Source organism: Homo sapiens, chromosome 13, assembly GCF_000001405.40.
Source record: "Homo sapiens chromosome 13, GRCh38.p14 Primary Assembly".
In the NCBI taxonomy this organism is placed as follows: Eukaryota; Metazoa; Chordata; class Mammalia; order Primates; family Hominidae; genus Homo; species Homo sapiens.
This window is the reverse complement of record NC_000013.11, coordinates 61,236,224-61,248,608: the sequence shown is the minus strand read 5'-3', so window position 1 is coordinate 61,248,608 and position 12,385 is coordinate 61,236,224. Positions and strand designations below refer to the sequence as shown.

The following is a 12,385-nucleotide window of genomic DNA, read 5'->3' as shown; positions in this document are numbered from 1 at the left end:
AAATAAGTTATCTATTTGAAGTGATGGATATGTTAATTAGCTCTATCGTGGTAATCATTTCACAGTGTTTAGGTATATCAAGATATCACATTGTACACCATAAATATAATCAATTTCCCTTGTTAATTATACCTCAATAAATGTGGAAAAACTAAAAATAATAAGCATATATCAAGTTTACAACAATGCAATAATTTGTATTAAGAAATGAAAGAGACTTGGGTGTGGTGGCTCATGCCTGTAATCTCAGCACATTGGGAAGCTGAGGCAAGCGGATCACTTGAAGTCAGGTGTTCAAGACCAGCATGACCAACACAGTGAAACCTCTGTCTCTATTAAAAATACAAAAAATAGCTGGGCATGGTGGCACAAGCCTGTAAACCCAGCTGCTCGGAGGCTGAGGCATGAGAATCGCTTGAACCCGGGAGGCAGAGGTTGCAGTGAGCCTAGATCACGCCACTGCACTCCAGCCTGGGAGACAGAGTGAGACTCTGTCAAAAAAAAGAAAAAAAAGGAGGGGAGACAGATTCGAAATGGTTAACTAAAAGCAGCTCATGTGGACTGCTGTCATGGAAAGGAAACAAAGTGCTGAGCAAATACTAAGTTTTATGGTGAATCGTTTAATAAACCACATCAGGACACATCAAGGGGGCAAGAGAATACATGGGTGACAGAGAAGAGTAAAGCAGGGCAGGTGCCCACTCAGGACTGGTACAGAGCTAGGAGAAGCTCCCCAACATGTGGAAAGGGTGAGAGAGTAAGAGCCCCCAGGGAATCCACATTTCCCACAGGGACCTGTGCAATACTGAGAATGAAAGAATCCTCTTTCACAACCCCAGCAGGCCTCTAGACCAATACAGAGATCTGCCCAGAGTTTCTGAAGAGGTATCACTCAAGACCACAGGGGGCCCCACAGGCCTTAGACTCCTCGGCAGCCCAGGGCCAGCTGCCATAATACCAATAGAGGCAGTCACAGTGCTGGAGGAGCAGTCAGACTGCTCCACTCCTCCCTGCCCAACAAGGCTCTTCTCCTGCTTCCAGTGCAGCAGCCACTCTACTGCCTGAACTCTGCCAATGGGCACAGTTCTGTGTTCCCCTGGAAAAAATCCAGAAAGTAGACTGGGCAATTCCTCCCAACCCCACGGCTACTAGCCAGGTGGGACCTGCCACCTCGGGCTTCCAGCACAGCAGCCGCTCTCCTGCCTGAACTCTGCTGGGGAACACAGCCCTGTGTTCCTCCAGGAAACACCCAGACAGTGCATGGGGTAACTCCATAGCCAGGAAAGACTCTCTGGCTTGGGCAGCACCCAAGGAGGGGAGGGGCTCCTACACCCAGAACACTGAATGGGATGAGACGCCTGGGTTCATGAACTGACAGGGGAGAGGGCCATGCCTCCTTCTGCAGAACCAGTTTAAAAAGAGTATGCCCTGTCCGCTAGCTGTGGCCTCTGTCTGAGGGTACCCCATGTCATGAAGCACCTAACAAAGGAAATGTAGGCATGGTGCCAGTGATGGGCAGGGGTTCCTCCAAGGCCCTGGAACAGACCTAATGAGGGAATTCTCCCTCTCTGCCTCACACCACAGAGCATACTACAGAAATACAAAAGAGCCACATGGCTGAATAAGAGCCTATCTGCCAGCCATCACTCTTAAGTGCCATTTACTGGATACCAGACCAAATTACAACACCAAAAATATTTTGCCAGTATACAGTGCCTGAAACCTAAGGCAAAAATTTGTTCACGAATAAAGATCCTGTACAGAGCCTTAGACCTCTGAAAGCACCCAGAAATGAAGCGAGCTGATTATACTCATTTTGTGTCACAGTTAATAAAACAAAAGCCCTCTCAGATGAGAAAAATCAGTGCAAGAATTCTGGCAATTCAAAAGCTAGTGTCTTCTTACCTCCAAACAAACACACTAGTCCCAGAACAATGGTTTCTAACCCATTGAAATGGCTGAAATGACAAAAAATAGAATGCAGAATCTGGATGACAAGGTAGCTCATTGAGATTCAGGAGAAACTTGAAACCCAATCCATGGAATCCAAGGAATCCAGTAAAATGATCCAAGAGCTGATAGTCAAAAGAACTGTTTTAAGAAAGAATCAGACTGAACTTCTGGAATTGAATTTTCTATAATAATTTCGTAACGCAGTTGGAAGAATTAACAGGACAATAGACCAAGCTGAGGAAAGAATCTCAGAGCTCAATGACTGATTCTTTGAATCAACTCAGTCAGACAAAAATAAAGAAAAAAATAATTTTAAAAAATAAACAAACCGTTGATAAATATGAGATTATGTAAAGAGACAAAATCTATGAATCATTGGCATTCCTGATATAGAAAGGGGAGAGAGTAAGCAACTTGAAGAACATATTCGAGGATATAGTCTATGAAAAATTATTTGATCTTGCTAGAGAGGTGGGCATGCAAATTCAAGAAATACAAATAACTCCTGTGAGATACTATACAAGATGACCATCTCCAGGGCACATAGTCATCAGATTCACCAAGGTTATTGCAAAAAAAAAAAAAAAAAAAAAAAATTCTTAAAGGCAGGTTAGAGAAAAAGGCCAGGTCAGTTATAAAGGGGGCCCCATCAGGCTAGCAGCAGGCATCTCAGCAGAAACTTTATGAGCCAGAAGAAATTTGGGGCCTAATTTTGACATCCTCAAAATAAATTCCAACCATCAATTTCATCTCTCTCCAAACTAAGTTCCTAAGCCGTGAAAGATAAATAAAATCCTTCTCACACAAGCAAACACTAAGGGAATTTGTTACCACCAGACCAGCCTTATAAGAGTGCTAAACATGACACAAGCAACCAGGAAAGGACTCCCTCTTCAATAAATAGTGCTGGGATAACTGGCTAGTCATATGCAGAAGAATGAAACTGGACAGTCTCTTTTTTCACTATATGCAAAAATTATGTAAAAATGGATTAAAGACTTAAATGTAAAACCTTAAACTATAAAAATCCTAGAAGAAAACCTAAGAAATACCCTTCGCAACATTGGCCTTGGCAAAGATTTGGCCTAAGTCCTCAAAAGCAATTGCAACAAAAACAGAAATTAATAAGTGGGGCCTGATTAATCTAAAGAGTTTTTGCACAGCAAAGGAAACTATCAACAGAGTAAATGGACAGAATGAGAGAAAATATTAACAAACTATGCATCTGACAAAGGTCTAATAACAAGAATGTATAAGGAATTTAAACAAATCAATAGCAAAAACAAACAACCCCATTAAAAAGTGGATGAAACACAAAAATAGACACTTCTCAGAAGACATACAAGTGTCCAACAAACATTTGAACAAATGCTCATTATCTCTAATCATCAGAGGAATGAAAATTATAATCACAATTAGGTACCATCTCACACCAGTCAGAATGTGTATTATTAAAAATTCAAAAAACAACAGATGCTGGCATGGCTGAAAAGAAAAGGGAATGCTTATATACTGTTTATGGGAAGGTAAATTAGTTCAGTCACAGTGGAAAGCAGTTTGGAGATTTCTAAAAGAACTTGAAACAAGGCAACCATTCAACCCAGCAATCCCATTACTGCGCATATATCCAAAGAAAAATAGATTATTACACCAAAAAGACACATGCATTCATATGTTCATCACTGCGCTATACCTAAGAGCAAATACATGGAATTCACCTAGGTGCCTATTAATGGTTGATTGGATAAAGAAAATGTGGTACATATATACCATGGAATACTATGCAGCCATACAAAAGAATAAAATCATGTCCTTTGCAGCAACATGGTTGGAGCTGGATGTCATAATCCTAAGTGAGTTAACGCAGGAGCAGAAAACCAAATAATGCATGTCCTCACTTAAGTGGGAGCTACACATTAAGCGTTCATGGACATAAACATGAGAACACTAGACACTGCAGACTACTAGAGGGAGGTGAGAGAAAGGGGAGCGTGGATTAAGAAACTACCTACTGGGTACTAGGCTCACCACTCAGGAGCAGTATACCCATGTTACAAACCTGCATGTGTACCCCCTATATCTAAAATAAAAATTGAAATTAAGAAAAAAACTTTAAAAAAATAGACAGTGAGAAAGTATGAAAAAGAGAAACAGAGAGAGAAACAGAAAGGAAGCACTCAAAGCAAATATGCCAAGAAGTAAACAGTGGCAAATTCCCATTGATGAAAGTATTGACTGTTGTTATTTGCTTTGTAATTTTCTATAATTCATTTTTAATTTTCGTATTGATTCCTAAGTCCTAAAACAAGTTCTTTCTACTTCAGGGTGGCAAGTCAATTAAACATGCATGAATAAACTTGAGTCTATGGGCAAATTGAATATAATAATAGTAATCAATAAGTGTTTAGATGCAGTTTTCATGCTCCATAGAAAAATATCAAAAATGAATATCTGAGAGGTAATCCAATGCCCTCCTTTATAATACAAAGCAGGATGTTTTATGACTTTGTTTTGTAATTTAGCTTTAAAGATGCTCTGTTAACTAGTAGAGATTATACAGAAAAATCATCTTAAATCTCAAAGACATTATCAGTAAAAGCAAAAGTAAGCAGTCCATTTTGTAATAATGGAGTTTGAAATTACTTGATGTGAAAGAAATGAAATAAAATTTTAAGCCTTTTTGGCCTCAAGATTATCAGGAAAGAACAATTAGACAATTATAAAATGGTTTAGCTTCTTTTATATCTTAAATAAATAGAATGGGATTTTTGTTTAATATATAATGTATCATTTAAAGTGCTGATAAGATAAAGTAGTAGAATGTCATATGTTTCCAGTCATAGTTATATAGCTGAAAACTAAATAATAGATTTGTTGTTAAAATACTAATTTTAAAGTACTTTAAAAATAATCTTAGCTTCAGTATCAATGGAGTGACAATTTTAACATTATCCTGAATGTTTATTAATATTTTACTATATATCTTTTATTCCTGAATTCACTAATATCCATGTCAGTAAAGAACATATTTATCCTTTTTGTTACATTAAAGTAAAAGTCAAGATATATATTAAAGATGAGTTATGTAACCATTTTATTTAATTTTATCTAAGTATAATTGTAATTCACATAATTAAGATATATCATCATTGAAAATATCTTATTTCTCATTATGTTTCCAAGCCATGTATTGCTTTATGTTTGTGTGCTGCCTGTATACTACTGGATCTTAACAATAAAAAATGCCATGTATATCTTTACTGGGTTCTTTTTTTTTTTTTTTTTTTTTGCTCTGTAGTGACTAAACAGCCTCAGTTTTGAAATGTATGAAGTATATATTTATATGTTTCCAACTGAATATTTCAAAATATTTACACATTATTACAAAGATTAGTTCAGTACATGTATTTGTAAAGTGTCAGCATTTGGGATTATTTTGCCTTTATATTTATTATTAAACAACTATTGGTACAAATGCAGAGGAGATCCCACAAAACCATGTGGAGAAAATGGTCTTAAATGAAAGAGGAATAACTTCGCACTGTAATACAAAACAACAATGTAATGTGTTTAAATAGATGCAAGTTGTTTGATATCTGGAAGATGAGGTTGTTCCTTTACAATTTCTTTTTTATTATCATCATTACTATTAATAGGAATGCCATCAGTTGATTGTAGAAGGCTTCAGGTGGGTGGAGATTAAGGAATGAAGAGAAGCTTTGAACTAGCTCTTGTGGGAGGGTGAGAATAAGTTGCAAATAGAAATATAATAATGGTTAGGATATTCAAGTGCATTTGAAGTTGGTAAATATTATAGGAGTCAAGATATCATTAGCATCAGTGGTAATTTCTCCAGAATTTCTTGATTGTCTAAGTGATATGGTTTGTCTATGTCTCCACCCAAATCTCATGTTGAATTGTACTCTCAGAATTTCCACGTATTGTGGGAGGGACCTAGCCGGAGGTAATTGAATCATGGGGTCTGGTCCTTCCTGTGCTATTCTCATTATGGTGAATAAGTCTCAAAAGATCTGACAGGTTTATCAGGGGTTTCCGCTTTTGCTTCTTCCTCATGTTTCTCTTGCCACCGCCGTGTAAGAACTGCCTTTTGTCTTCTGCCATGATTCTGAGGCCTTCCCAGCCCTGTGGAATTGTAAGTCCAATTAAATCTCTTTTTGCTCCCAGTTTCAGGTATGTCTTTATCAGCAGCGTGAAAATGGACTAATACACTAAGTGAAGGCATAAGAACTTGTAAGAACTTGGACAGTTGGGGATTGTTCAGGACTAAAGTATTGTCATACAGAGGAAATGAAATATTGAAGGATCCAGGATGTTGAGAATATAGGAGAATGTAAATAAAATGATATGCTGTGCAATAAACTAGATGAAGAAGAAAATAAAATTTAGATTTGTGCAGTACTGAATTATAAGTTTATCATTCAAATGTAAAATTTATGCTTTTTTTGTTAGGTTAAAAAAGATTGTTTTTCCTTATGGGTAATTTTTTTTTTATCTACCTGACATTTGCTGTACTATGTTTATTTTCTTTCAATTTAAATATTTTCCATAACTGATTTATTTGTTACCCTTTTTAATTGTGAAATATACCTCTAGAACAGTGCAAAAGATATATGTGAGCAATTTTAGGCATAATTACAAAGTGATAAAGTGATGGAACACTGCCTGATTTCCATGTGTATTCCTCCCTAATTACCTACTCCTTCTCTTCTTGGAGATAACCAATACCCTGATTTTGTGAATATAATATCCTTAGAATTATTTTTTATTGTACCAATTATACATGACTTCTAAACTGCATAGGCCATATCTCTGATAGATAAGGGAAATATATGGTTTGTATTTATAAGCAACTTACTTCTTAATCATAGTGATTATGAGATGCATGTGGATTGTTGTGTGTAGCTTGTAGCTCATTTATTTTTACTACTGTATAACAGGAGTAATCAGACTTGTTAACTGCATGTTCTTTTCACACTCTAAAAATTATTGAGAACCACAAAAAGTATTGGTTTATGTGTTGTATCTATAAACATTTATTAAATTAGAAATAAAAAATATTTTGTAAATTTTATGTTTATTATAATAATTTATGTAAGCTTATTACAAAAATCTTATTACATGGCAATGCAAATCACATAATTTTTTAAAAAATTATTGCCATTTGAAAAATTCAGTGACAAGAGTAGCATTGTTTCATATATTTTCATCTCTTTAATATCTGACAAAAAGAGATAGCTGGATTCTAATATTTTCTTCTCCATTTAATCTGTTGCAATAGGTACAAAGAAGTATACAAAAAATATAAATAAAAACCAGCATCACACAGATACTTAAGTAGAAGACATCAGAATCTTAATAAAGTGTATACCTTATTTTTGACACTGCACAAAACTCAAAACATGGTTGTTTTTCAAAGTTAAGTTGCAATGTAAACTTGAAACTATATCAGTGAACTTTATATTCTGTTAGTTTAAAATCCACTTGTCTATCTGCAACTTTGAATCAATCTTTACCTATCTATCATTCTGAAACATTATTCATTGGTCATTTGGAAAATCAAGTTATCAGAATTATGAAGATCTTTTAAATGTCAATACATTTCATTAAATAATATCAAAAAATTGATTTGTCAGTATCATCAGGAATCTCATCAGAAAAAGCCTTTAAATAATAGAAAGCAGTCAAACTCCAACTGGTGGGTAAAAGTTCCTTGAAATTATAACATTATGGGTTCAAATTTTATCATTAGCAATAAATAGGGGAAGTTGTTTTTCTTGAAGTGATGGGGTTATTTTGTTATTTTTAAGACAAGTATGAAATACTTAGAATATCCATAATTTGCTTATCAGTTATTTTTTTCAAGTAGAAATGGAAAAAGCAGCTGATTCATTTGCACGTTAAAAAAAAAAAAAAGGTGTTGTGCCCTGGTAAAAACCATCATATTTTAGTATCTGGCAGAAATGCTTTATAAACTCTCTTCTCTTTCCACAGAATATTAAAAACATGTATTCATGGAGTGAGATTCAATGACATTTAATATTGTTACTGCTCATTTGAGGAGATTCTTAATTGAAACTTTTTTTTCTCCTGTGACTGCAGTGAAGAACACAATGAGCAGTAGTACAGTTTGATGCCACTGCTGGGATTTGTGTTAGGACACGAAGGCTTCATTTGCTATCACTTTGCATAATCATTGCAAATGTTAATGCAACGTAAAAAGCAAAATGTGTCTTATTATTATCGAAATAATTTTGACTCTACAGACCCTCTGAAAGTGCCCCAAGGACTGTCAGGGATACATGACAGCACTTTGAAAAACCATTGCTACTTAGTATTCCAAAATGTATTTAATCTTTTTACTAGAAATGGGCATTGAATATTTCTGGGTCTGTTTCTATTGATTCATTTTTCTCCTCATTGTGTATTATATTTTCATGTTTCTTTGAATTCTTGGTAATTTTTTATTGGATGCCAGACAGTGAATTTTATCATGTTAGGAGCTAGATTTTTTTCTTTGCAATTCCTTCAAATGTTTTGGGGCTTTGTTCTGTGATAGTTATTGAAGATAGTTGATCTTTTAAATATTTTATTTTAAGATTTATTAAAGACTATCAGAACAGCCTTTAAGTTAGGACTAATTTTCTCTCTACTGAGGCAGGGCCCTCTGAGCACTCTCCCCAGTACTTCATTCATCAGGAGTTTTTTCTGGTTTATGGGTATACTATGGCTTATCCTGTCTTAGTTCTGGGGATTGGACTGTCTTTTCCTTTTAGGTACTTTTTCCCTTGGTCCCAAGTAGCATCTTCTCATGCAAGTGCTGACCAATAACTAGCTAAAGAACCCATTTTTGACCCCCAGAGCTGTCATTCTATACAACTCTCTTCTCTCTGTACAGCTTTCTCTTCCTTGTACTTTTTCTGGAAAATTCTAACTACCTTGTTGTGACAGACGCATTCCAAAGTGATTCCTAACGAGTTACATGTTTGTATAATCCCCTCCTCTAGGGTACTGGCAGACCCTGTGACATGCTTCTAACCAATAGAATATGCTAAAAACAACGGAATTTCACTCCCTGGATTAAGTTATGTTATATACAACTCCAGTTGGGCAGACAGGAGAGATTCTCCTGCTTGCTGGCCTTGAGGAAGCTAACAGCCGTGTTGTTAACTGCCTATACAGAGTGCCACCTGCCAGGAAATTCGGGCTGACTTTAGGACCTGAGGATAGACTCTAGCCAATAGCTGATAATTTTCCACAGGGAGATGAATTATGCAAAAAACCTGAATGAGTCCAGAAGCAGATCTTTCTCTAGGTGAGCCTCTGGATGAGAATGCAGCCCTGCTGACACCTTGATTGCTGTCATGTATAAGACCTTGAGCAAGGACCAAGATAAGCTATGCCCGAATTTCTGACCCACAGAAACAGTGATATAATAAATAGGTATTATCTTAGCCACTGAGTTTGCGGTAATTTGTTGTACAGTAATGAAATACAAGTGCATTTGGCCTCCCATACACCTAGCTTCATGTTCTCAACTCAAGGAATCCACCACACTTTGTTTGAATTCACCATCTCTACACTGCATCCCAGAAAATCTGGGCAAACAACGAGGAAATTGTAAGCCCCACAGCATTTTTTCCCTTCATTCAGGAATCACTGACCTCAACCATATAAGAAAACCATTGTAGCCTAACTTATGTTCTTTTTTTCTTATTTTTGCTAAAAGCAGAGGCCTTTCATTGATTTTTTTTATTTTGCAAATATGTCTTTTCATTCTCTTTGTGGTATCTTTTGAATAATGGAAGACCTGGATTTTAAGTGTTGTCAAATTTGGCTTAGATATATTTTTCTTTATTAGTGCCTTTTGCATCAGGCTTAAAAAATCTTTCTCTCTTTCCCTGCCACAAGATTATGAAGTAATTTCTATTATAATCTTCTGTCAGCTTTGTAGTTTTTCTTTTCACATTTGGGTCTTTAATTGAACTAGATTGACTTTAGATAAACAACCGTTTCAGCAATATTTATTTTAAAAATACAAAATACCTGTTTGATCTAAAGGGCCACCTCTGTCACATGTCAATTGTTCATAAATACACTTTGTTTATGAGCATTCTTTTCTGTTCTATGAGTGTAATTTTTCTATCCTACACTAATAAAACACTGTCAATTACTATTCCTTCATAACATCTGCATATATGATAAAGAAAGACTCTTCCTTGTTATTCTTCTTTCTTCAAGATTTTCTTTGTTATTCTTAGACCTGTATATTATCCAATAATTTTATAATCTGCTTGGCAAGTTCCAAAAACCATGTTGAATATTTTGTTTGGAATTGTATTATAGTTTCATTTGAGGAATATTTATATGTAGATAATATTAAGTCCTCTAATCCACGAACAGATTATAGAATAGTTCTCAATTTACTAATGTTTACTTTTAATATGTATCTCTAAAGTTTTGTAATTCACTCCATGATATCTTGTCCTTCTTTTATTTGATTTATTCCTAGGTAATTTATATTTTCGATTATAGGATATTTAATTTTTCCTTCTGTTTTTTGCTGATATATTTAATTATAATTGATTTTTGAATACTTATTTTATACATTCATTAACTCATTAATTATAACTTACAATTGGTCTTTAGATAATGTCTTGGATTTTTCTATGTACGTAATTATAACATCTGTGGATCATGAAGTTCTTTCCTTTCTTCTCTTCTCTTTTCCATTTTCTCCTGCTCTTTCCTCTTTCCTTCTTTCACTTGCTATCTAGAACCTGCATTATAATTTCAATTTGTGATGCTGAGCATCCTTGTCTTATTTTGAAATTTAAATAAAAAACTTTCATTGCTTCTCTGCTACATATTATGCTCTCTGTGCTTATTTTATCTTTAAATTTGAGTGATAGGTTCATTTATTTTCTAATATGAAAGTAAAGTTGCATTCCTGAGATTAAACCCAACTCTGTCATACTGAAATATACTTTTTATAAAATGCTAGAATCATTCATCTACTATTTTGGTATAACCTTTGTTAATAAGTGAGAATGACTTGTAATATTCTTGTCTCATACTTTCCTTATCAGATTTCTCTATCAAGATTATTCTACTCTTATAAATTTAGATAAAGACTACTGCCTTTTTCCCACTCTCTGAGAAAATTTATATAAAATTGGAAAGATATAAATATTTGCTAGATTTAAAATATTTGAATATTTGGTAGATTTTGCTTGGGGAGCCGTTCAACCTTGGCGTTTGTGGAAGTTCATGTGTACATATCTATGAAAATCTTTGACTATCAATTAATTTTTTATTGATATGTAATATTTGAACTTTTTTAAGGGTACAGATGACATTTTGTTATATGCATAGAATGTGTAATTATCAAATCAGGATATTTAGGATTTTTATCACTACAAGCATTCATTTCTATGTGTTGAGAACATTTCAAATCCTCATTTGTAGCTAATTTGAAATGTTATTATTAACTATTATCACTCTATTAGCAAACATTAGAACTTATTCTTTCTAACTACAGGTTTGTACCCATTAACCAAGTTATTTTCACCCTGCCCCCACACCCACATACTTCCCAGGCTCTGTTAACCGTCATCCTACTCTCTACCTCCATGAGATCAACTTTTGTAGCTCTCAAATATGAGTGATTGGTTAAAGTGAGCATCCTTGTCTTGCTTCAGTTCTTAGAAAAAACACTTTTCCCTTTTTTCCCTTCAATATGATGTTAGCTGTGGGTATGTCATGTATGAACTTTATTATGTTGAGGTGTGTTTCTTCTATACTCCATTTGTTGAGAGTTTTTATCATGAAGAAATGTTGAATTTTATTAAGTTTTTCTTCTGCATCTATTGCGATTATCATATGGATTTTGTCCTTTGTTTTGCTGATGTAATGTGTGACGTTTATGCATTTGCACATGTTGAACCATCATTACATCCCTGGGATAAATCCCACCGAATTATGATATATTGTCTTTTTGGTGTGCTTTTTGATTCCGTTTCCTAGAATTTTGTTGAGGATGTTTGCATCTATACTTATTAAGGATATAGGCCAGTAGTTTCCTTTTTTGGTTGTTGCCTTGTCTGGTTTTGGTATCAGGGTAATGCTAGCCTTGTAGAATGAGTTAGGCAGAATTTTCTCCTGTTCAATTTTTTTGAATAGTTTTTAAGGAGGATTGGTATTTGTTCTTCTTTATTCATTGGTAGAACTCAGCAGTAAAATCATCCAGTACTGGGATTTTTGTTGTTGTTTTGAGGAGACTTTTATTACCAGTTTAATCCTGTTACTCATTATTGATTGGTTCAGGGTATCTATTACTTCCTGATTCAATCTTGGGAGGTTGTATGTTTCTAGGGATTTATTCATTGCCTCTAGGTTTTCCAGTTTATTGGAA

The 12,385-nt window shown here is 34.7% G+C and overlaps 1 annotated feature.

The window, feature by feature from the left end:
• Window positions 1,015-1,064: an enhancer, noted in NCBI's record as "active region_7804". NCBI's record gives its function as "activates an Ori minimal core promoter by ATAC-STARR-seq in GM12878 lymphoblastoid cells {active_cell/tissue: GM12878}" and the evidence as "EXISTENCE:reporter gene assay evidence [ECO:0000049][PMID:35858748]".